This window comes from Homo sapiens, chromosome 3 (genome assembly GCF_000001405.40).
Source record: "Homo sapiens chromosome 3, GRCh38.p14 Primary Assembly".
NCBI classification, from domain to species: Eukaryota; Metazoa; Chordata; class Mammalia; order Primates; family Hominidae; genus Homo; species Homo sapiens.
The window spans coordinates 117,677,524-117,704,853 of NC_000003.12; the positions used below are offsets into that span (position 1 = coordinate 117,677,524).

The 27,330-nt window shown below is 36.8% G+C and overlaps 1 long non-coding RNA gene across 1 annotated transcript; it reads right to left on the reverse strand.

The window, feature by feature from the left end:
• Nucleotides 1-1,169: 1,169 nt before the first annotated feature.
• Nucleotides 1,170-13,402, reverse strand: LINC02024 (long intergenic non-protein coding RNA 2024). The gene is made up of 4 exons (NR_146652.1): nt 13,368-13,402; nt 12,432-12,552; nt 3,416-3,449; nt 1,170-1,457 (listed from the first exon to the last, which is right to left on the reverse strand). It is a non-coding gene; the product is annotated as a long intergenic non-protein coding RNA 2024 (long non-coding RNA).
• Between the last annotated feature and the right edge of the window lie 13,928 nt (nt 13,403-27,330).

The window sequence follows — 27,330 nt, forward strand, 5'->3', positions numbered from 1 at the left end:
TCTTTCGCCTAGGCTGGAGTGCAGTGGCATGAGCTCAGCTCACTGCAGCCTCCACCTCCCTGGTTCAAGCTATTCTCCTCCTGAGTAACTCGGACTACCAGCCTGTGCTACCACACCCAGCTAATATATATTTTTTTTTTTTTGAGATGGAGTCTCTTTCTGTCACCAGGCTAGAGTACAGTGGCACGATCTCTGCTCACTGCAAGTTCTGCCTCCTGGGTTCAAGCGACCCTCCTGCCTCAGCCTCCCAGGTAGCTGGGACTACAGGCACTTGCCCCCACACAATTTTTGTATTTTTAATAGAAATAGGGTTTCACCATGTTTGCCAGGGTGGTCTAGAACTTCTGACCACAGATGACCCACCTGTCTTGGCCTCCCAAAGTGTTGGGATTATAGGCACGAGCCAACACACCCAGCCAACAATATATTTCTATACCAGTTTTGAAATGAATGAACATTATAGAAGGGTTATACCTAAATCATAAGTGAGCATTTTTCCACTTACATTATGTTGCAAAATTCAGTTTGTAAATCAGGTTTCCAAAACTTGTATATTTTCCCATTAAAATTATGCTATAAATAACTAATGTCTTCTCTTGCTATATTGCTTTATTTTCACCTATGATTTATCACATAACATTTATGCCCTGTATTCTAGTTATAATATATGTTCTCCTTCTTTCACTCCTGGCTCAAGGTAGACTGTATGCTTCTTGAAAGCAGATGATGTGTCTTACATTTATCATTTTAATATACAACTAGTCCAGTCCCTTAATCATAGTAAACACTCACTCCTTTATTCATCCTTTCATTCATTCTGGAATTTGTAGCATGGGCACTATGTGCTAGGGACTGGGACAGAGGTTGAGGGTACAAGGCAAGTAAACGAGACATGAACTATGCCTTGAGGAGCTTACGATCCAATGAAGAAGACAACAAATATTTACGAAACCATGTAATATAAAACTGCTGTATGTGCTCTAAAAAATTATGAGGAATATTAAAAGCATAAATAAAGGAGACTTACCCAAGTCTGAAGAGTTAGGGTATAGTTAAAATAACAATACTTCAATATACGAGAGAAGATAAATTTCATCCATAGACGTGCCTATTACAAATGACTTTTAAAACTACAATTGGCTGAAATGAGATTTTAAACAACCTATAAATCTAATTGTTTATAACAGTATTTTAATGGGAAAACATATCCTGAGACTTTTCTTCAAAGCCTCAAAATATATAATGGGCCCATTCCAATCCTCCATCCTTGGCAGCAAAAACAGGCATCTGCCTATTCCTGCTGAGACTTCTGTACAAACAAGGTCGATTTTCTCCTGTCACTGAAGATTATACTGCAGTTGTGGGGCCAATGGAGGGGAATGACAGCTTCCAAGGCAAAGTGTGAGATCTGATAGTACTCTAGAACTTTTCTGGGACATCTTTAAGATCTTTGGAACCTGGCAAGAGAAAGGGAGTCATATCACCATAACATTGTGAAAATGGGCGATTGCTTTCTTAGTCACTTTCTATCCATCTCAGTGTTATGATAACTACTTCCATGGTTTTCACACAGGACTGCCCAAAGGAAATTGCTAAGTCTCTCTATTGTGACTATTGTCGCTTTATGAGTCTGCGTGAGATGGATCTAAGGCCCCATGTTAGTGCCTTTACCCATACACAACCATGTGATTAGATGATTCTTGTACATTCAGGCATATTAAATGTTTGATAGTCACTGATTTAGATATACTCTAAATAGCACAGTAGACATGCCCAGTGGAATAATTAGCTTTGATCTCTGACTTTTGTGTCAAGTGAACAAGACTATACTTAATTAGTAAATAAAAATCAAAATTGATAAAAACTGAATAAACCCTAGATGTTTCTAATTTGAATAAGTCAAAATTAAAACTATTATTCATCTGTAATCTTCATCCAGTGTTGCTGATTTTATTCAAAATGCATTTTTTCTCGTATAAAATAGCTGATTACATGTTTTCTTCTGTTGCTTGCATGTTCCTTTATCTCCTCTTTCCATTCTATTTTTCGGTCTTTTGAGAAATGACTGCAATTTTGATATTGATTTTGAAATCAGGCATGCCGAAACTTTTCTTATCCAAGCAGCCCTGTATCTAAAATCTTTGTTCTTCTTAATAGAGCATGTCCACCTAACACACACACACACACACACACACACACACACACACACACAGACTTCCAACATGAGTGCCAATAAATGGCAATGTCTAGCATAATTCTCTATTCAATGGATCCTTGAATAAATGAAATCATAGAGGTGAACTAAACTGTAAATACGGTACAGTCTACATCTGAAAGAATTTGGAAACCAGGGCCTTTGGGGAGTGAAGATGGATCATGCCTAGTGGCCCCTCAGTGCTTTGCACATAATTTTGTACTCGCTTTAAGGTGACGTTATTTTTGGTTTACTTGTCTGCTTTTCTCTTCACTGACCTATGAGCTCTCTGAGGACAATAAAGGTTTCCAGTCTTTTTCTATCTTCTGAGGTGGATTCATAATAGGTGCTTAATACATATTTGTGAAGAAAAGAAGAAAAAGATAGGAAAGGAAAAGAGGGGAGAAGACAGAAGAGGAAAGGGAGGGAATAAAGGAAGAGAAAGAGAAGGAAGCAACCTGAATAGTAAGCAAGGGTTACGGGACCTGAGTTAATAATTAGGCAACTTGGGCAATATTAGGGTATCCTAGATGTCTGGATTTATCTTGAAATTCCTTCTAGCACTGTATTCTATGTCTGTGAGTGACAGAATACGTATATGTAATTTGCATGGTATGTATGAATAGTATTGTTATATAAGTAAAAAGCAATAAATCCACAAAAATAGTTGGCTACTTTAACAAAAAGTTTCTGATATCATCTTTGCAATTAATCAACATTTCAGATTTTTCCTTTGAAAGCTTGTAAGTATATAAATCCTAAAGACATTTACTTGTCAGAATTAAGATAATTTAAAATGGAACTGTTACAGTTCCAAGCAAAAGGACGAAAAGGGAAAGAAACAGATGTGTATTGTAGAATTTTACTATAAAAGGCACTGAGCAAAGTACCTTACCTAAGTTATCTAATTTAATACTCCTGACAACCTTTTTAAGTTATTATCACTTTTTTTCTAAATGAAGAAACTGAGGCTCTGCAAAATGAAGCAAATTGCCCAGTCTATAAATCTAGTAGGTGACAGACCCATTAGTCTGATCTCCTTCTGTCTGACACTAAAGAAAATGCTTTTTTACGATGCCAAACTACATCTCATAATAAGAGAGAAGCTTCAAATTTTATTTATATTGCAAACTATGTCAATACATCTTTTATATACTGACATCCACTGCTACTCAGAGTTTTCCTTCTAAGTATCCTAGAGGCAAAAGAGAGAAAACTCACCTCTGGAGCTGGCTGTAGTCACCTGAAGCATCTGCTGTAGGGATAGTAATCTATTAATATTCATGTGTTTCTTCACCATTAATAGGTGATTCTTCTTTTCTTACCTAAGATATTTACGTTTACATATTTGTTTTAATATAGAAATAGCAATTCCTCTCCTTAAAATCAGTAAGTAAAACTGACACCTCAGGGACATGAAGTGTGTTTTTCAATGGCTCGGAGGAGGCCCTTCACACCCTTGCACATCATTGCAAATATTCATGTCCCTAGTGAACAGCAACAACCCAGATCTTTCTTGAGACATAGGGAATTACTGTATTTTCTCACAGTCAAGCTAAGGAATGCTGCAGGTAGGGTTCTACTTTGTTACCAGAAATTGTTTTATTCAAGTGCACAAAAACAGTGTCAACTGGTTTCTTGAGCCTTAATATATAAGGACACTTAAACTTTTCCTTCCTTTTCCTGTCTTTACCTTTCTCTCTAGGGAGATTTTTTTTTTTTAAAGAAAAAGCTAAAACATATAATGAAAGATGGAACTTAACATTGTGGAAGTCCTAATAATTTTTTTGAAATATTAGAAATTAGGTTATCCCTCTTGTTCCTAGTCATCTAAAAATAAGTCTTAGAAAATGATACCATTGTCTTTTCACCATGTACATAATAGGTTCTTTCTTTCTTTCATTAAGAACTCTATGAGGATCATAGAGTCTTGGAGCTCAAGGAAATCTTATAGATCATTTACTTCAAACTGTCTTTCCACATATGTGGGAGTTGAGACTCAGTAAATGAAAAGTGTTAACCCAGTACCGCAGAACGAATTGGGAGTGGATCCAGCCTTAGAATTCAAACCTCAGGCTTCCCAGCCCAGTCATGTTTCCATAGAAGATACTTCCAGCATTAATCATAACTTGGCTTTGAAGAGAATATCTGGCCCTGCATTTGAATTACACTCAGGCAGACAAAAATTCTGAATTATAACCAAGACTTTAGATTGCCAGCTGGGTAAGATTCAGCAAGACACCCAATTGCCATTTAGATGGTAAGAGATGTAAAAGAGGCCAAGAAGGCTCAAAAATGCTTACTTTCGTCATTATCAATGGGTTGGCATAGCTCACAAGTGGCCAATTCTATTCTCTAGCAGAATTAAACTTTGCAGGTTCACTGGGTAATACAATTGTTTTCCAATTTGGTTTGATAAACAAAATACAAAGTAAATGATATAAAACTATTTTAAAAGAGTATCCCATGAAATTCAATGTAGCTAATCTAATCCAAGCTGCTGTCTGCCCTCAGTGAGCAGTTTGTAGTTTTCATGATTGGATGAAAACACACTAGGAGTAGAGGAGAGTGGGCTCTGCAGTCCTAGTCTTCATTCTGCCTATTACTCGCTATTTAACCTTGGTCAGGCTACTTAATATGTTTTTGCCTCATCATTGTAAAGACGAAAGGAGTTAGTACATGGAAGCTTTGAAGCAATTCCTGGCACATATTAAGATCCCAGTAACTGTAAAGGACACATTTTAGAGTGAAGTGTTAGAGTGAGGGAAGGAAAGAATGGTAGCGCTTATAACTAGGCTGCAGACAAAGCAGAACTGTTTGAAGGGGCCTGGGGATTTCTTGCTCTTTGTCTATGATTCCTCCTAAGCTTAGCTCAGTTCCTCAAGCTCCAGAAAGAACTACATTTACATAAAACACCCAAATGGCCAAAAGGCTTCTTCCAAGACGCCAGGAATTCATAGACCTTTCCTACCTGAACTGCAGTTCTGCTCATTTAGCAAAGTATAATTGCAGAAGATTATCAGAGACTCCTCGACCTACAATACCCACTTCAGCAAAACCCTGAGGTTATACAGTAGTTTTTAAGTAAAGAGTTCAGAATCTCTCCTAAGATGATTTTTGCTAGTCTCCTTTTAATTGAATTAGTGAGTTAATAGAACCAAATCAGCATTTTCCACAATGATTGCAATGCCAGGAATTTATAATGATTTGTTCTTTATTCTGGACCTTTTGGGTTAGCAAATCAAAACTGATAACATCAAACCAAATTTCCTTTCTTCTCTTCTGCAAATGAAAGGAGAAGGAAAACACATAACCATTGACGTTTCACACCAACATTTAGATATATATTCACATACATTAATGGAAAATTTTGAGGGTATTAATTTATCATCATCATCTTTCTCGGTTTCCCACGGCCTTCATGAGATTATCTGAGAAGTACATCCTTGCTAAGTTAGGGCAGTTATTAGGCAGATATATATAAGTTAGGGCTAGTTATTAGGCAGATATATTAAGAATGGTTTCATAGTTTCACTTATTTAAATAAGGAGCTCTAATGAAGAATAAATTTCTCTAATAATTACTTAATTTTTGTTTCTATTTTCACTGCATATTTTAAACATTAAGTTTAATGTTATAAAGGTAATACATGCACATTGTTGAAAATCAAAGAGCACAGAAAAGTGGATGTTACATTCAATGAATTTTAAAAAATTAAACTGGTTTCTAATTATGCTTATATTGCCCACAGTATACAATATACCGTTTTCAGCTGAAGCCAAGGTCAGGTTCAAAAATAATATTGCATATAGCATTGCTTCCCCTTTACCTGAGATCTATAAATTTTTATTTTATCTATCTATCTATCTATCTATCTATCTATCTATCTATCTATCTATCTATCTATCTATCTTGGAATTCTTGAACATAAGTATTTCTGTACTCACTACATTCCACTAACTTATAACATTCTGTCTCCTGTCTCTTTATAGCAAAAGCTTATTAGCTATTGTGAGCAGCTACAGGGGTAAATGATGTTCCTACATTTTTGAGGGGCCATGTTAGTGTTTAGATAATGATTTAACTGAATCCCAAGATGAGTCAGGGCAAGAGTCTAGTTAAGGATGGGGGTTCTTGATGGATACTAAAGGAGCAGGCTGAAAATGTAGCAAGGTCACCTGCAAGCAGAGAGAATGACCAGGGCAGCCTATGCTAAGGATGCAAAACTCTCAAGGAGCTCTCTCTCTCTGTCTCTCTAGCAGGTCTTGGCATGGGATGGGGGGTGGTGGGAGTGGACTATATAGTTTATTTATTGAGTTATCTTAGTGGTGGATAGGCAGATTTTGAAAATTACAATTTTCGAATGTAAGGAGAAGTAAGTGCATATTATGAATCCAAGTAGTCAAGTAGATTGCATGTTGAAGAAAGTCAACAGAAGTCCAAACAGGTAACAAGTAGTTTAATATGAAAGGAAGAGAACATGATTCTAACCTCAGACCTAGGGAAGGACCCACATTGTATGAATGTTAGGCTTCCTTCTATGTATGAGTGTGTATTGGCAGAGGTAATAAAGCTGAAGGAGAACAGTGTAGTGAAGAGGAAGGGAGGTAAATTTGCACTATGTGTTTTCAGATTAGAAGCAATGGAGCCTTGGGTTTGCTAGAAGACATTGTGGTCATACCTCAGGCAGAGGCTAAGCCTTTTAGAATAGGCGTATTATAGAAAGTGCTAGAAAGGAAATTGGTATCATCTGTTTGCAAGAAGCCACTTGCTTTTTAAGAAGAAAGTTAAAATCACAGTCCTACTGATGATGAGGTACTGGGTGATATGTTCAACTGGGGACAATATTGAACCATAAATCAAAAGAGAATGAATATCTCTTGATCTGCCAATGACTTTTCACAAAGTACTATTTTTGGGAAAATAATTATATAGAAAACATGCACCTCCTTTCTAGTTTACAAGAATATTATGAATATATGCTTGTTAAAACAGTGCTTTGAACTCCTGGTAAATAGATACTCTATTAATACAATATGTAATTATTTATTTCCATGGGCCAGTACATCAGCCAATGACTTTTAGATGCATTTCAAGCTGAATTTAATTATATTTTCTGAAACTTGGAAATAGTCTGTTTCTATTTGGCTAGATGCCAGGGCAGCATATCTAGCTGATACACACTGATTTATTCCAATCGGTTCTCCCAGGTTAGTATCAGTTGGTTTATAAATACCAGCTAATAGGCTTTTGCAGGTTTCTCAGAAATTAATTACAGTAGATTTAAATTAATTGCTAAGTCGATAAAAGAATTCCCAAGGAATCCTCAAGTTTTGAAATTTACAGTGTTGCTGCTGGTAAACATCGGATAGCTCTGGTTCTAGAATGGTCCTCTGTTGTGGCTGTTATCCTGACTACTTAAACTATAACTGAGAAGAACATTCCTACACTTTCAGGCTATCTTTATCAAATTTCATAAGTAAAACACATCTATTTGATCAACACCTATTTAGAGAGTATCTATAATGTTAGAGGCACTGTGCTAAATACTGTAGATAGAAACACAATAGAAATGTTTTCTGTGTAACTTAGTTTATTCAAGTATCGTACAATCACGTCCACTTAGCTTATCTTCTAACAAAATCATAGCTCTTGAAAATTTATAAAAAGGGGCAGGTGGTGGAAAGTTTAGGCTATTATCTAAGATGACAGACATATATCCCTCTGATTGATAATTCCTCAGCACGTTTCTTATGTGGGTGGGCTTGTTATAGCAAGCAGTGTATATAAAGAATATAATATCAGCCAAGTCATAGTCAATCAAAAGTACTGAAAGAATAAACAGACCATTTGCTCTGCTTACAACAGCTTATGCAAGTTTTTAGAAAAATGACAATTATGACAACAATAAATATTTTTAAAAAAGAACCAGTACAGGGTTTTCTATTATCAATTTAGGAAAGTAGGACAGGTGGATTATATAGATTATAAAACCTATAGATTGTGTAAGTGTTAGTCCAATTTGGTTTGGTTCTTCCATCACAAGCCAAGTAAGAAATGGGATGGAGATGATACTTTAGATGACACCACCTTCAGACAGTCAAATAAGATACAAATTACAGTAAATTAAACAATGCAAGAAGGATGGGATGATTTTCCTAGTACACATAGCTGAGGGTAGACTACTATTTAATAACTTGAAACAACTGAGGACTTAAAGGTCGAATATATAGAGAGGTTAGTGTATGTAGACCGGAAAATACTGAAAATGCTTAAAGACTAAACATATCAAATGAGAAGAAGCATGTAAAAATCAGAATTTTTGTAAAACCCCGTTATTCGGGGATGCCTCCAAAATAGTCTAAATTAGTAAAAGTTCTAAAATATATAATATCTTTAAAGACATGTTGTTTTAAGGTTTTCAAATAAATGAAGTGACTAACTGCTGACGAAGTTTATCCATGCTTGTTGGACTAGTTTTAAGGAATAGATGAGACTGATTGTAATTAGCAGCACTCATCTGTATAAAATGAGTATCTGATAATTTATTTAAATTGGTTACCCTCCTCTTTAAAACGGTCTGTAGAAGTGCTTTCCTTTAGAGTGAATTAAACTTAATTTTGTTTAGAGCCTTTATGTGGATATTGAGATGTGTTCAAAATGAAATGGAGGCATTTTGAGCTGTTGTAAAGAAGAGGTTGCAAATCATTTATTTTTAACCCTATTTATTGACCTACAAAAATCAAGATTTTACAATAATGAAAGTAATTATAAACTAGACCATCAAATCTTATGAGATATGCTGAGTATATTTGAATTATAGATTAAATAAAATGCCAAATATACCAAGAATGAACAATCAGTAAATACAGAAAGATAAGGGTATGGAGCTTTCCCTTCAGGCTACATAATTCCAGATAAAATGTTGCTAGAATAAAAATGCATAGACATTCATCTCATTTTACTCAAGGTAAAAAGTACAATGATTAAAAATATTTAAAAGAAGCAAATAAAAATTAAAATTAGCAAAATGCTTTTTATCTTTTGAAAACAACTTTTATTCATTTTGTAACAATGGTATACTCTAATAGAAAAAGTCACATAATACCAAAAATGTACCAGTGTAAAACGATGTATTACCTCAAATGCTACCACCTAGAAATAGTCACTATTGATGTTGTTTGGTAACAATCCTTTTAGGTGTTTTATTAATATAAATACATAAGGATATATAACTAGAAAAATACCTTATATTCTGTTCTGCAACTTCATTTTTTTCCACTCAACAATATGTTCTGGGCATGTTTTCAAATAAATTAATTCTACATCATTATTTGAGTGGAACTATAAAATCCAATTATAATAAGAACCATTATTCAATTAAATAATATCTTGATGAATATTTAAGTTGTTTTCTTTATTATAATTTCTACTATAAAGCATTCTGCTGTGAATATTTTTATAGCTATAATATTAGCTAGAGTAACTTTCCAGAACTGAGACTGCTGGGTCAAATCTATGCACAATTAACATTAAAATATATTGTATATTAGTTCACAAGAGTGGTCCATTCTCCAAATCTTTTTCCAATTTGTTAAGTGAATAATGGTATAATTTTTTTTTCTTTTCTTGTCCCCTTCCCTTTTGATTTTCCTCCCTTCTTCCCTTGTCTTCCCTCTTTTTCCCTTTCATTCCCTCCCCTACCCCACGCATCCACATGCTACCTAATTACTTATTCATCCATTTATCTATCATCTATGTTTACCAGCCACTTACGTTTCCTCTTTTGTCTATTGCCTATTTCAAATCCCTTGCCTTTTTTTATTATGATCACCAATTTTTTAATCCTTACTGATTTTGAAGAGCTTTTATATATTAAAATATGAATGCTTTAACAATGACACTATTAAAAGTAATTCTATTAATTTTCATTTTCTTTCAAATTTACCATAGGCTGCTTTTTGTCTTTAAAAAGTTCTATGAGTTTATGTAATTATATTGATAAATCTTTTCCTGAGCTGTTTCCAATTTTATGGCGTTATTGAAATGAGCTTTGTTACTCAAGTTTTTTAAATATTTACTTATGCTTTCTTCTCAATTTTATTGTGATTATATTTAATTTGTATATTTTAGTCTTTCACCTATCTTTACTTTAGCCTAATATAAGGTACTTAGTTTAATAAAAATGAGGTAGGGATCTAGGTTTTCTCTTTTCCTAACAGTTATCCAACTGACTCACAGAATTTATAGAATAATTCACTTTTTCCACTAATTTGAAATGTCCTTTTTATCTACATGACATTCTCATACTCTTGAGTCTTAGGTTTGATATCTCTTCTACTGATTCATTATATCAATTAAACCATATTATTTTAACTATTGAAGTTTTATAATAAGTTTAATAATTGATAGGAAACATGTTTCAAAACTTTCATTTTTGAAATCTTCCTTAGGGTATATACGTATTTAATGTAAGCATAAGATAAATAATACATGCAACATTGTTAGATTATCTGTGAAGCATATATATTTCAGTTAAAAACTTTCAGTTATGAAGTTGACTCAATGATTTAATATTCTATTTTTTCTCATCTGTGATGTCTTGACATAAACAGGTTATCTTACTTACTTTTCTTCTTGACCAGAACAGAACATTGGCTGTATAAACACACGGGCAGTCAAAATTTGGTATATGTGCATTTTCTTGCTATTCTTTTCTTTAATCCATCCATTAGAGGACTCATATCTTTTTAAAATCACTACAATTAAGTCATTCTAATTTACTGTACCATTCTCAAGTTTGAAAACACTGTGACACGAGTTGTCTCACTTCAGACCCTGGCCCTTTCAATGATCTGTGCTTTGCATTTGATTCTTTTTGTCTTCCTCTCCCGAGCTCCCTGAATGAAATAGCAAGAGGGATCTTCTGTAGAAGCATCATTCTCTGAAGTGACAAGGAAGCGGCATCTTTCACAGCTGGCAGTGCATGCCTGCATAATACCTGGATGCCAGAAGTGCTCTTGAAGAACAAACAGGCAACCTGTTTCCTCCTCAAGCAGCAGCAAAAGCTGTCAAAACCACAGGTGCACCAGGATCCTCCCCTCCATCAAGCTGTTTACATTCTTTTTTCAGTCTAGCATTTGGCAGCTGAGGTTGATTCTGGCGTTGGCAGCTGAGGTTGATTCTGGCATTGGCAGCAGAAACAATATATCTCTTAGGATTTAGGTCATACAGATGGTGTTAGAATTTAGCAGTTTAGTGCCTGCTTCCCACTATGCTATGGAATCAAAGACCCTGGACCAGGTAGTAGAGCATTTTTATTTAGAAAAGGGATGGATAAGGACATACAAGTGAATTATGCAATTTTCACTCCTGTTAGAGGTCTTTGAAATATTGCTTTGAACTATACAGTCTTCCTATAACTAATGCTTGGTGGCTATGGCGTTTAAAAACTAAAATGAGATGCACTTACTCTCTCAAATATTTAGAATTATTAAGCTTACATATTATCTTCACAGATGACTTGCAGAAACACTGTATAAAACTCAGCCTGGCCAGGCACGGTGGCTCACACCTGCAATCCCAGCACTTTGGGAGGCCGAGGTGGGCAGATCACGAGGTCAAGAGATGAAGACCAACCTGGCCAACATGGTGAAACCCCGTTTCTACTAAAAATACAAAAAAGTAGCCAAGTGTGCTTGTGGGTGCCTGTAGTCCCAGCTACTCAGGAGGCTGAGGCAGGAGAATCACTTGAACCTAGGAAGTGGAAGTTGCAGTGAGCTGAGATTGTGCCAGTGCACTCCAGCCTGGCAACAGAGCAAGATTCCGTCTTCAAAAACAAAAACAAAACAAAACAAAAAAACCTCAGCCTTTTTTCATTTATACTTGCACAAATTCCTGACCTCAATTTTCCAGTGAATGGCAAATGGCCCCACAAAACGATTAAGTTATCTACTTGGAATAAAGAATGTATTTTTTCACAGATGTAATATTATCTATATATTCCAAATGTTGTGCCACAACTTACAATGTAAGAGATTATTTAATTTAAAAAATTGAAAATGATTTTGATTCAAGGTGTCAGTATGAAACACAAATCTATAAAAGTTAAAGCTCCATGTCTCAGGACTCTATCAAATTTCATTGAAATTAATCAACTTTTATAAAATTTGTCATGAGACAGAAGATAATGTATACATGCAATATTAAAAAAAACATTATGACATTAATAACTTACATGGGCCAGGCGCGGTGGCTCACTGGGATTACAGAATCCCAGCACTTTGGGAGGCCAAGGCAGGTGGATCACGAGGTCAGGAGATCGAGACCATCCTGGCTAACACGGAGTAACCCCGTCTCTGCTAAAAATACAAAACATTAGCCGGGCGTGGTGGCAGGCACCTGTAGTCCCAGCTACTAGAGAGGCTGAGGCAGGAGAATGGTGTGAATCTGGGAAGCGGAGCTTGCAGTGAGCGGAGATCGCGCCACTGCACTCTAGCCTGCGCAACAGAGTGAGACTCCATCTCAAAAAAAAAAAAAAATTCGTTAATAATAATAATAACTTAGATGGAAGCCAAGAAAATGAATAAATTGCTTTTTCAAGTAATTTTTTCCTTATGAAAATTAAGATAAAACTTTATAATAGAGTAAGAATGATAGATTCTAGTTATTTTGGTTAATCAAAATGTAAACTTAATTATTTAAGTGATATCCCAACTTAAATTTGGCCTAGTTATTTTTCTAAATTTTTTTTTAAATGAGAGTTTCATTATAAAATACTCAAAAAGGAAATCTTATTTTCATTAACATTAATGAAAATTACTTTTGAAGGCCCTGTTAGGGTATTTGAGTGTGTTTTCTATGCAAATCAATTTTAAAAAGACAATACTTCCATTTCTATATCATTTGAACCAACATAAAATACTTCTTCATCATACTTTTTCAATGTACAGTTTCTTAAACTACTTTTTGAAGCAGTGGAATTCCTTTATTATTTATCTCTATTCTGAGCCTGCTACGTTCAACTACAAGATACTGTGCCTACTGAAGGTTCAGGCCTTTATGCAATCCATAATCCAAATATAGCATTTGATATTGAATTCATAAAATACAATGTATGGCATTAGGGGTTTAGAAATCCACCAACAATCTTTCTGTCAAGCACATATCTTACGTTATAAGGTTTTCTGCCATCAGGAGACCTTGCATCTGTGTGTTGTGTTCTGCCTGTGAAGCTGTGTTCTCAATTTGAGTGCACTAGCCAAAACCCAATAGAAAGATGATGCCATAGTAAGAAGGCAAATATTATAACTTTAGAGGCGGAGCCCCAGCCCAGCCTTCTATTGAATCACAATACATAGACAGCTGTCCATTGCCCGCTTGGCTCATAAATTTTCTCTACTTAGCCAAAATAAGGCAAACTTTTGTTGAAGATTCCAAGACACTAAAGAGAATAGAATGCTATACTTATTGCCTCTGGTTTGCTCTCTTCCCTTTTCCAGCAATGTATATTATCTTGGAACTAAAATATTTATTAAATGCTCCTTTGAGGCTGCTTGACCTTTCTGGGACCTGGCCACTCAGAGGGCTATGGGAAGGCTAATCATAGGGCAATTTTAATTGAGTTGATAAGTTCTCTTGGTCTCACATCAAAATTATAAATTTGTTTTGAGATTCCCAAGTCACCTCAGGGGACTCTTTTATTCCTTTCTAGCAAATGGTTACTTGGGCCAATTCTTGGATTCCTAGGGCAGCTGCCAATAAAAGACCAAGGTGGCCTTAATCATAAAGATTTGAATCAATTTTAAAGCAAATTGTTTAAAAAACAAAAGTTATCAGAAAGGAAGTGGGAGGTTGTAATGCCAAGATGAGATTACTCTGTGAGCCCTCAACAGTGAGAGCTATCAATAGATGTACATAGAACAACTAACTAATGCACAAGTCCTCATTCCTGATAATTGGCTGAGATACAAGACAGAGGAAAAGGGATCCTACTCAAACATAGGCCTGCCTCAGTAGGTCTCCCCAGTCCACTTGAGTGCTAGCCAGAATGTGGATGATTACTGAAGACATCAGCTATTTTACAGACTTTCACATTTCCTGCAGAGTTGAAGGGAACAACAAATTCAGCTGCTACATTACTAGTACATAGCAATTAGTGCTATGATAAGATCGTTAAGTAGGCCTGGAATGCAGTATCTTTAAAAAAAACTTCTCCTTGTTTTGAAGAAAGGATTGCTGAGGGGAAGAAATGTATATATACAATTTTTAAAGGTCTGAATCAAAGAGCAAGTACTTGTTTAGAACTTGGCTGCTGATGATATCTTCATCCTCAAGTTAATTAGGCAAGTGAAATCTAATCCCCTCTGGAGTGGCAATGTCCAAACTTTCCCTAGGATTTCAGTGGAATTTACTGCTTAAGTATTTTCTTGAACTGAATTCACTACTCTAATGTTAACTGAATTCTGTCTATTCAACCTAGAGATTAAATGGTATTCCTGCATCTTTGAGAAGCCTGCCTTTGAAACAAGTATTCAGAGAAAGGCTGCTTGGACAGGTCTGGATGAGGGGCTGTTAAGGTAACTAACATGTATGAGGGGCAGTTCTTGCATTAACTGTAGGGTTAGTTAGTCACACACACTCAGGAAGTCCTGAGACCATTCTGGCTATAATAAGTCAATGTCGCTTTCTACAGCTGTGAAGGTTAACTTTGTGTCGACCTGACTGGGCAAAGAGATGCCCAGGTAGCTGGTAAAGGATTATTTCTGGGTATGTCTTTGAGGGTATTTCCAGAAGAGATTAGCATTTGAATCAGCAGGCTGAATAAGAAAGACCTGCCCTCAGATGGGTAAGCATCATTCAGATCCAGTCCCTTGAGGGGCTCAGACAGAACAAAAAGGCTGAGGAAGGGAAACTTTGCTCTCTCTGCTGGAGCTGGGACTACTTTCTCCTTCCCTAAGACATCAGAATGCTGAGTTATCAGTCCTCTGAACTCTGAGACTTACACTAGCTGCCCTCCTGGCTCTCAGGCCTTCGGCCTCAGACTGAAAACTACACCACAGGCTCCTCTGGTTCTCAGGCCTTCCTACTCAGACTGAATCACATCCTGGCTTTCCTGGTTCTCCAACTTGCAGACGGCATATCGTGGGATTTCTCAGCCTCCAGAATTGTGTGAGCCAATTCCCATAACACATCCCTTCTTATAGACCTATATATTTCCTTTGGTTCTGTTCCTCCCGTGAATCCTGACTAATACATCAGCTTTCCTCAGGAATGTCAAAACTAGCTTTACTTTGATGGTGTACATTTGCAACTAAAATTTCTACATTAAGACATAGACATTCCTGCCATCAACAATTTTTATTTTTACTTAAGGCAGAAATAGAGAAAATTCCTACTCCAATTAGCTTAAAACTCAATAGCAATAAAACATTGGCCTCTCTGCCAAAAAAAAGATTATTTCCCTGAAGATTGAAGGAATGGTCTCCATTTTACCTCCCTTCTGCTTTAGATCCTCCTGCTAAGTCACTCTCATCTTTTTCTCTCGCTTTTCCCCTTCTAAACAAATATTTACGTATTTTTATTTGTATAGTGTATTCCATTTTAAAATAAAGCACTAAAGTTTGTTTAATTTTACTAGTAATGATATTTTTTAAGGTTGGAGTTAGGGGAAGGTGCCTCTGTGTGTCTGAGGCTATGGCCGCTGAAGTGGGCAGGGACAATCCTGCTATGTTGATTGTTGGCAGTGATATAGCCCATTGATCTCCCTGGCTGAATTAAGAACACTAGGTCTGACAAAATGTTGAGCATTTAAGACTCTAGGCAAAATCAAAGAATAGGAAAGATATGCATGAGGCTCAAGTCTCCTCTTTTTCTATTTTTCTTCCCTGTTACCCCTTTCTCTGTAGGGACCTATGGTCTTCCTGGTCTTTTCCTAGATCAAAAGCTCTTTTGAAGAACAAAAACAGTACATTTCCTTTCCATCTCTAGATTCCTCTTTAATCTACAATAATCTACCTCTCTTTACTGAAAAATGAAAAATAAAAACCCATTTTCTTTTCAGATTTAATTAATATCCTCCCTGAGAATGTTAAATGTAACCCTTGGTTTCCTAAGGAATCCTTATTTATTTATTTATTTATTTATTTATTTATTTATTTATTTATTTTTATTTTATTTTTTTGAGATGGAGTCTCTCTCTGTCACCCAGGCTGGAGTGCAGTTCTGGAAGGCGGAATCTCCTCCTTCCGGGTTCAAGTGATTCTCTTGCCTCAGCCTCCTGAGTCGCTGGGATTACAGGCACACGCCACCACACCCAGCTAATTTTTTTTTTTTTTTTTGTATTTTTAGTAGAGACGGGGTTTCGCCATGTTAGCCAGGATGGTCTCGATCTCCTGACCTCGTGATCCACCCACCTTGGCCTCCCAAAGTGCTGGGATTACAGGCGTGAGCCACTGCGCCTGGCCTCCTAAGGAATCTTGATCCATCAAAGCTTCTCTCTCTCTCCATCTCTCCCCTGCCCCAATTTCAGAACAGATAAAACAAGCAACCAAACAATACACAGACACACACACACAGACACAGACACACACACACACACACACACACACACACACAGAGCTCCCATTGGCTCAATCTCATAAAATTACTCCTTTCTCCATTCCCTTATCTAAGGGCTCTTAAATCCATATTCTACAAACACTTCCTCAACTTTCTTCCCTTGTTCATTCCTCATCACTTACATGACTGAATTCTCTACTTGTTCTAAAGCTGCTGACTTGAAAGTCTCCAAAAAGCCCCTTAAAATCTAGTCCCGTTACTTGTCTGGGGAGGGTTCCCATTCTTTCTCTCTTTAGTATGTGTTACTTGCTTTACCTTTGAAGTGACTTTTTTCTCTTGATAATCTCCTTCCCTATGATTGTTTCACCAATGCCTTATGTTTCTTTACTTCCCAAATATATGTGCCCCTTAATGTATGTCATATACCCCTGGTTTTCACTGTATGTAGTCTTTTCCTTAGGGATTTCATCAATTCTCCTATTTGAATATTATATCTTTGAATATAGGCATGAAGTCTTTATCTCCATACCAACTCTAGACCACCTCCATCCATGATTCTGAATGCCTTTTGTAAAATTTACGTGGGTGCAACATTCATTCCTCAAATACCTCAAGCTATTTACTCCTTCCTCTCCACATGTTCTTCTCTGAATGTCTCTTGCTGTTCAAGGATTTGCCCTCGTTATTTCAGTCCTCAATTCTAAACTGTACAGCTCCTGTTCTTCTTGGATGCTTTCCTTTCCCTATATTGTCACATTCGGTGTGACAGGACAGCCTGTAGAACTGATTTGTAAAACAGAATTCTTTCCACACTAGTATCACTATAATTGAGACACATGTTGCCCCGTACCTGAAATACATGGTCTTCTTACACACTGCTGACAGATTAATCTTTTTAGAATACAGCTATCATCTTATTATTCTATGCTTAAAAACCATCATTAGCCACTCACTACTTTCAATTACATCCTAATTACTTTACCTGACACTTAAGACCCTACATGACATAGCATTGAAAGCAGCATGATCAAAATTCCAGCTAAATAAAACTAGAGACTCCTTTCAGAAAATGACCCAGAATTTTCTTAATCTAGATGGCTTTTCTAGACCTATAAAACACAGCTTCCAAGTCCACCAGAGGAACTGATTTTCATCATCCGTTTACTCTTTCTTAAAGGTGGGCCAAGCTTGACTGCCAACTTCTTCCTAACAGTCTCTATGCTTCCACACTGGATGGGATTGCTGCCTCTGAGTCACTGAAGTATTTGTGTGGCCCTTAGCACAGTTATCTTGAAACAATGCAACTGAAAGTGTTTCATAAACCATAATCATGCCAAACTAAGAAATTACCATAGTTTTGTTTTTGTAGAAAAAAGTCCTAGCTTACCTAAAATGTTACCCTAGTATATTTGGTAGCATATCACACAGATCCAGGTACAAAATAAGTTCCTAATAAAACATAGTAGACACTCAATACAAACTTATTGAATATTATTTACTTACCCAGGAAACAAATTTGAATGATTGGATTGAATTAACGTATCTTTAAGTCATATTAATATTAAAATTTTTTTATTGTGTAAAGTACTAATAGTATATTTTTGATTAAATAAATGAGTTTTATTTGGTGGGTTGTGTGCTTATTCTTTGTTACTGCCTTGTTCTTCATGTCCAAAGGTGCTGTCAGTGCTGCTGACATTGCTCAAACTTTTTTGTTCTGGGCTTAAAGCAAGCCCTGTTTCATAAGTGTAAAGTTGTTTAACAGTCTTTGGTAAATGCCTTTCCAAAGATGCACATCTTGAACATGTCCAGCTTGCAGCAGCTATCACAAGTGTGTCACATGTGATACCAGCAGGATGCCAATAGGTAGATTGTAACCTGTCGGTTCTGAATGAAATATTTGACTGACTCAAGCTGAGCACAAATACGTTGTCAATAAGTCAGCAGTTAATGCTAGGAAAAATGAATAGAGATGAGGGGATCGGCTTCCTTCTATTTTATGTAATCCACTTCTAGTCCACTTTGTATAAAGTTGAGTGTGTGTGTGCCTGTGTGTGTGTGTGAGTGTGTGTGTGTGTGTGTGTACGCTGAAAACAGGTTGGCAGGGTGATAGTTGAAATGGGATTAGAAAGTACTGCAATTATTTTGCTCATGTAGAAATATGCAAAGAACCTTTGACCCCTTGTAAACAATGCAGTATGAGGGACTAAACAGAGGGCTCAGTTCTTCTTCCCTCATTAGCACCTCATTAAGCTATCCCAATACTAAAACTCTTGTTAATGCAGAGGCTGCTTAAGAAATCAACAAAGAAATGCCTCTATTAATAGTATTTTCAGAATACTTGCCTCTGAATATACTCTCCTTCCTTCAATCTTAGTTTCAAAACACAGCCAGAACCACGGGGCATACTTTTCTTTCCATCTTGCCCTGTGCAAAGGTATTGCATATTTAAATCTGAAATGTACCCAAGTATATGTATCAGACACTGCAGGCTGATTTAACGCAGAAAAAAAGAAGAGTCACAATTCCAAATCTAAGTTTCCGTCTATATGCTAAGAGCATGAGAAGCAGAGAATGAGAAATGGAAAATCCTCTATGGGAAGATAAGCTCCTGCACCTTTAGTTCAAGCAATGGGCAAAGCTGCTCTCTCAGGATTCGGTTCTGCATTCATGTGTGAGAAAAGCAGGGGGGGTCAGGCTAAGCCACACTTCATTGCAATAGACTAAAATCAGCAACTGCCATTGTCTGTGGAAAGCTAGAGATAAACAGAGCAGATGACTTTATTTTTATTTTTTTAAGCAAATGGGCTGTGACATTTTGTACCAACTCAGGACAGGTCTCTTGATTAAATGTTTTCCATTCATCCGACTAAAAGCTCCCTGACAGAGATGAAGTGACCGCACTTCGGGAAAAGAGAGTGCATGGGGGTTGGGGGTGGGAGCTAAACAGTGAAACAAAGGGTGAAGACAAGAAAAGGCAGGATGGCACAGAGCTCTTGAGTGGAGCTGGGTATTTAGGGTGATTGGTGAGGGACCTGATAAAAAGGCATCTAACGCCTCATTAGCATCTTCTGTTGATTACATGGTGGAGAGTGGTAACTGTGTGAGCTAAAGGAACTTGAAGAGAGATTGGGAGAAAAACATCAACTGATCCCAGTATGGAATACTCATGTTTCCTAGCTAATGTAAAGTGTTGGTTTGGCAGAAGGGAGGGGACGGGGGAAAGTTATCATTTATTGGGTATCTATTATACTTTGTGAGATAACGTGTTCTTGTGGCAAACATTGTATTTACCATTATGCATTCATTGTATTTAATTTTCACCATTTTAAAAGGTCATCAATAAAGGAAGAAGCTAAGATGCCCAATCCTAAGCAATCATGTGGTTATGGAATCCAGGAGGAGGAGCTGAGCTACCCGCTATGCCTGTCAATGGGGGGCATATGCGTGGGCATGCCCGTGTTCAGGGGATCCTGCTTCCAGGAGGTCAGAACCAGAAAGCTCCTTGTGCTTTCCTGTTCCCCAAGGTTGGAAGAGACAAGCATCATAATAAATTGTTTAAAATTATGATAAACAATTATAATAAACAAGAGCTGAAGAAACAAGCATCATAATACATTATTTAAAATTATAATAAAAGTTGAAAGTGCCAGGGTAAGATCTTTTCTCCTTTGTAGAATATAAATCAGAGTAGTATGCTATTCAGGCCTTTTTTATATATATGTGAGGCCCAGGGCAACATTACAAGGGGAACCTTACGTACCACTTAATATCATTCCATCCTCCTAGAAGACTGAGTATCAATTTAGAATCTTCAACTCCTTGAAATTCTGTGTGTGAGGACGGTAGAAATGAAAGAGTTGCCTCTGACCGCTGGTCCACGCCCACAGATTTCTCTCCTCAATCTGTCCCAGCCTCAGTTCTATACTGCAAACTTTTGTGAGGCCCCTTGCTCTCATGTGCGGAGTCTGGGACAGCCCATGCAAGCCTTCCTTGGTCAGTCTTTGTGCCAATGCAGACCTAGGAAAAATGGGTCTGGGACTTTCTAGGGCAGGGAATTCTGGGATGCACAGGTGATAGTCTAGAAGAAGGATGGTAGGTGCCAGGTGGGAGCCCCTTTAAGATGTTGGATTCATCTATGAGGAGTGATGAGTCTATGGAAGGATCAGACAGAGTAGTATTAATACGAGACCCAGCACAGGGCTCCTCTTCCCTGTGTCGAGGGCGGAATTCACAATATTGTTAATCAACCTCAGGTAATCAGGTAGGATCCACAATCAGAAAACTGCTCAGCTACGAAATCTCTGTACTTCTGTAAACAGTGTTTTGGACAAGCAGAATTTTACATTAATTTCCTCGGCTGAGAAAACAAAGGATCACACATCATATATTATATCATTCTTACCCACAGATAGCCTAAGATGATCAATAGAGAAAGCACTTATTCATAGATAGAAAAAGAAGTTTCTTCAAACAATTAGAAAGAAAAAAAGAGAAATATTTTAAAAGTCAATTCATCTGAAATCAAATCTGCTCTTCTCATTTACTAGTGTGATGGACCTTTACAGCTTAAAGGACTTAATTTATATGAGTCCCAATTTCAGTAGCTATAAAAGCAGGGCTAGCAACACTTATTTTTAGAGCTATTGAGAGGATTAAATTAACTATTCTATATGAATGCAGCCAACTCTGTATTTGAATACATAGTAGATGCTTCAAAAATATTAGCTTCCCTTTCCCTCACTCTTATTTTCTTAGGTTCCATCTCCTAAAAAGTGATAAAGAAGTGACAAAAGTATGTTTTTCTTCTCTATATTTTTGAGGGATATTTGATAGTACAGATTTTGTGTCCACGTAATTAATTTATCTCATTAAGAAGAAATGGTTCATCTAGAGATATATTATACAGCATTGTGATATATTCTTGAAAAATACTAAAACAGAGGATATTAAGCAGAAGTCACAAAAATGATGACTATGTAAATTAGCAACCATGTGAATTAGCTAAATTTATCCATTTCACAATGTATATAGATATTTCAAATACACATTTTAAAACATTATGTTGTACACGATAAAAACACAAATTATTTCTGTCAATTTAAAATAAATGAATGAAGAAGTGATCTCTGTTTATTATCATGTACTTATTCTTATCTCTCCTATTGCTTATCCCTCACTTACTAATATATATATAAAATATACATACATGATATGTAATACATATAAATATATATAAATCAATGCAAGATAAAAGTATATGCCAAACCAAATTTGTGCAAATAAGTGAAACTTACTAAAAGTATAGGTGTGACTAGGACATTCCAGAACATTGTGTTCTGTACATTTTCCCCTCTCCCATTTCTCTATCTTCTCTCTCACCATGTTTTGTTATCAGTTCTAACTACAGAAAGAGAACACATTAATTGAATATTGGAAAGGGAAAACAGGGAATGATATGACCAGAGCTGGAGGCTACACACAAGAGCCGGATCACGAAGTACAAAGCAAAAGGGTGTCAAATGAGTGGCACTGCCCTTGCCACACATGACGTTGGCACAACCTTTGAGATTTGTGGCTTGTTTTGCTTTTCCTTCACAACATAAATTTAGAATCTTTCGTCTCATTGTTCAATACGATGGTACAAAATGCTATGGCTTCTATTTGATCCTTTATAATGTAAATCAACAATTCTTTAAGCTCTTGCATAAAGGAAAATTATTAAAAATACAAAGTCTTAGCCCTTTAGACCCTTTAACTTCTCCACCATACAAATCAATTCTGCATATTCATTTGGGAACCCAAACCATTTCTTTTAACGAGATGTGCACTGTGCAGCTTTAGACTGGTAAGCTTTAGCTCGGTTTCAGTAATGCTGCTCATGCATAAAGATGTAAAACAAGGCAGTGAAGAGATACAGATACATCTTCTAAACTAAAATGCTCATACCATTCGGCAACTGCTACTCCTCATACCTCCCCCAGAGGAAATGGGAATTGATATATACATGCCACACATGAGGTAAGGGAAGCAAAAAGAAACCATGTTCATAAGTTCACTTGGGTATAATCAAGCGATAATCACATACAGAAAACAAATTGAGGAATAAGTGAAAAATTCAAAAAGCAATGTGGACAAAAAGCAAGCATATACAGACATTAAAATGAAAGGGGAAAATGCTTAGGGTAAAATCTCAGTTGAAAAGCACAACGGGGTCACTAAAACATTCAAGGGAAGATGGTTTATGTTTAGTTCAGGGACAAGTAATTAAAACCACAGAAAAAAGTGAAAAGAGGAAACAAAATTTCATACTGAGTGATGACTAGTGAGGAAGGAGGATTCATCTACTGGTAGTGCCACTCTGGAGAAATAGAATTACATCTCCCATGTATACAAAACGGGAAAAGAGTAATAGGTAGAGAGAGCAAACTAAAGACACAGAGAGGAGGCAGCTGCTGATGAAGGCAATAGTTTCTCTTTCACTCGCAGGCAGACACACACATACACATAGATATATACACATTACAGCAATATTCATGGACTAGCTGGTGAAAGTTGCAATCAGCAAGGGTATTTCTGCTTGAATGGCTTGCAGGGTGTGATTACTGAATTAAATCTAATGAGAGAGAGAAAAGAGGCAGATCATAGGACAGAGAGTGAATTATAGTGTGGGTCTCTGAAAATTATAGGAGTTGTGCACCTTGGCAGTATTAGAAAATAGAAGTACGTGGTTGTTTCTTCTTCCATTTTTTAGTGTTATATGGATATAGTTTGTGGACATTTCCTTCTGAATCACACAGAATTCCAGGAAGAATGTTTCTGAAGTGACTTCTCAGAATCCATATTTGGAATATGCTTATTGCTCTTCATATTAGCTGAACCACAGGGCTGGAAAGAATCTGGATTGGTTGAAAATAAATCAGATCGTGGCCAAAAAATATTTAAAAACATAGAAAATGCATTTCTCAGCACTGAGCTTGAATTTCTTCATGTCGTGAGCTCGACATTGACTTAGTGTAACATGTGATATGGGGCTGACAAGCTTTTGCAAGCTGGGGTATTTTCTAATCTAAAATAGATTAGGCATTTTCTGGGAATGGGAAGAAATGAGTAGATTAGGGATTGAATTCTGTTTTCTCTTTTCATCTCTTCTTTATTTTATCGTCCAATCATTCTCACTGGCATTTAAAACACACTTAATTTAGTCCTATCCTTGTAGAGCAAGTTGATGTCATCTAGTTTGATTTAGCCTATTTAGTCCAATAAGTTAATTGGTTAATAGGCCATCTGTATGCATCAGGTGACAGGAATGCTAGGATGAATGCAATCACACACACACGTTAAATAAGACGACATGGGATTGTATAAAAACAGTTCAGTTTACTCCCTATGACTGCTAAAGTAAGGTTTTCTCATTTCTGATCTGCATTGCAGCACTGCCCTTGATATTCAAAGTTCTGCTTGGTAGAGTTCACAGGCCACAGCAGTTCAGGAATTAATTTCCATAATTATCTCTCTAACTTCCTCATTATAAAAGGCATCATTCCTGAATGGCAAGAAGCCAACCTGCTGACCCCAACAGGACAATGCCCCACATGAGACACCCAGATTGGCATGTGATTCCTTTGTCTCCTTTCGGATCATGTGAGCCACCTACAGGGACGCTACATTTATTCTAAAATGGGATTATCGGCAAAAATGAGGAATAATCCTCTCTCACTGATACAGTTTGGATGTCTGTCCCCTCCAAATCTCATATTGAAATGTGATTCCCAATATTGGAGGTAGGGCCTGGTGGGAGGTGATTGGATTAGGGGAGCAGGTCCAGCACCATCCCTTGGAAATAAGTGAATTCTTGTTCAGTTATCACGTGAGATTCGGTTGTTTAAAAGTATGGGACCTCTCTCTTGCTCCTGCTGCCACCATGTGACATCTGTTCTTCCACTTCATCTCTGCCATGATTGTAAGCTTCTTGAAGTTCTCACCAGAAACTAAGCAGATGTTGGTGCCATGTTTGTACAGCTTGAAGAATTTTGAGCCAATTAAACCTCTTTATAAATTACCCATCCTCAGGTATTTCTTTATAGAAACACAAACAAATAACGTAATACAGTCACGGAAGCATCCTGGTACCGTGAACAGCATGTGGACTTCTGTAGGAGATAACCTTGAGTTAATATCCCAACTCCAAATTTACTAGTCCTGTCACCATGTGAAAGTTGGTTGCCTTGTTGGAGCCTCAGTTTATTCAACTGTTAATGGGGGATGGTGGTTTTGACCATTCAGGATTGTTATAAGGTTTAGAGATAATAAAGTGTCTCTATAGACAGTATTTTTGTTAATAAACTAAGGGCTATTTGTCGGGAAGGTTAATTTAGTTGAGATATGTAAAATAAAGTCTTCAGAGACATGAGAACTATAGAGTTAATTAATACAATGATGATATAACAAACATTTATTTCTTTGTTTGCCTTTTGCTCTTGGGTCTTAAAAAAGTAGTTACAATAATTCAAAGAAAATTTATGTAATACTTTATAGTGGAAAAAATTATTTTCAAGATATTTGGCTAATGCATCTTTTACATAGAGAGGTTCCTTTAATTATTACAAAAATTGCATGAAGTAGCTAGTCATTTTAATTTTCACTTATCAAATGAGTATACTGAGACTCATAGACAGGTCACCTATTAGAGTTGAAACTGAAATCCTGGTCATTGGACATCTGATGCCAAATATGCTAAATGACATCATACCAACACTTTGGTGGAAACCCTAGCTTCAAAAAACTCCCATGAAAACAATAGATCTTCATCAGTCTATTGGGATCATATGTGAATAAGGGAATGGTAAGAGGCAGAATTGGAGATAATTGGAGCAGACTTTGTACCGAAAGAAAATGATGAAGTATATGAAAGGATGTTCCAAGAAAAGAGAATGCCATGAACTGTTAATATAGAAAGGAAAAAAAAAAAAATTCTATGTGAAGAGAACTGAATTCCATTAGGCAAACCAGGGCCAAGCCAACAGGTATTAGAGACAAACTCAATGGAAGGAAGTATAGATCAGTGGGCTTTTGTGACCTTGCTGAGAAGTGTGAACTTGGTAAAGTAGGCAAGTGAAAGTCCCTGCCAAGTCAGTAATTTTTTTCTTTCATTTATTTATTCATCTATTCATTTGTTTCTACATTCACTTGCATATCTAAGAATGAATAGAAATGGTTACTGTGTCCCAGACATACTGCTGAATGTTATGTATAAAAGAAGAATAACAGACAGGCCAGGCCACAAGAAATTTAAACTGCAGTGAGGTGACAAACGTGTGAATACTATTTCACTGGTCCCAAAAGGGGCAGAATGAGGGGTTATAGTCTGTGAAGTGATTGGGAGGACTTCAGAGAGGAGTTAGTATCTGACCTGGATTACAGAAGATGATTCAAAGTGCTCTGGGGGCCAGAGCTTATGATCATGGATAACTGGTTTGGAATGGACAGAACGTGTGCTAGATGCCAACACTACAATCCAGAAGTGAAGTGATTAGGACCTAGGGTAGAGTTATGGCTGGGGAGATGAATTTTAAAGGGGGAGATTAGTAACATTTAGTAACTGATTAGATTTGGAGGTCAAAGAAAAGGGAATAATTGAAAAATTGATGGTGATGAGACTGGTGCATTGAGAGGATCGTATGAAATTATTAATGATTAAGAGATAGGGCAGGACTGACAGTGCTGCTCCTCAGTGCTTCCATCACAGCTCTTCTCCCCGTCCAGAAAAAAGCTCCTAGACCTTAAAAGCCACTGCATAATTTTTACTTTCATCTGTCTCTTCTGAATACAATTAATGAGCATGGGGACAAGAAGAGACCGAGAAGGAGACCGTGTCCTGGCCCCTATCAGGCACTCAATTGATGTTTGTTCAGTTGAATCTAGTCTGAGAGGTGGGAGGCAAGGACATCACTGATGACAACTCAGAGGGAATTCTGAGCAGCAGCACAGAGTTTCGCTGGAAGCGGAGACTCGTGGACCTCTGAAACCCTCCAGAATGGAGCCTCAGCACCTCCAGTAAGTGGGAAGTTTAGGACAAGTGAGTTCATGTCTTTTTGTCTCAATGTCCTTATCTATACATTGGAGAGCATAGTACTCTTCACCTGACGGGATACTAGGAAAAATCAGTAAGGTAGTTAAATACTTCAGTGACTTAACTATACATTTTAAGTGTTAGAACAGCATCTGATGCATAGTAAGTGTTCAAAAAGTTTTGTTTTTATTAGTTACTAAAGAACATATTTTTAAAGGCAAAGTAAAGAGTTTTTTAAAAATGAGAGCTGAACGCAGGCACTGGATATGATTTCAGAGAAAGCCAGTTTAGTTAGGAGGTAACCATGGAAGCCTGGTTTTGAAGTCAAGAAGGAAGAGATGGTGAACTAAATGAGACATCAAATGGAATATACATAAGTCAAGCCTTGGAGTATGGGGCAAACTTCACAAAAACAAGGAAAATACATTCTGTACATGGCATGTATAAGAATAAGAGCTCATCATTAAGTTGCTCCATTTAAATAAAAGAAATAGTAATAGAGAAC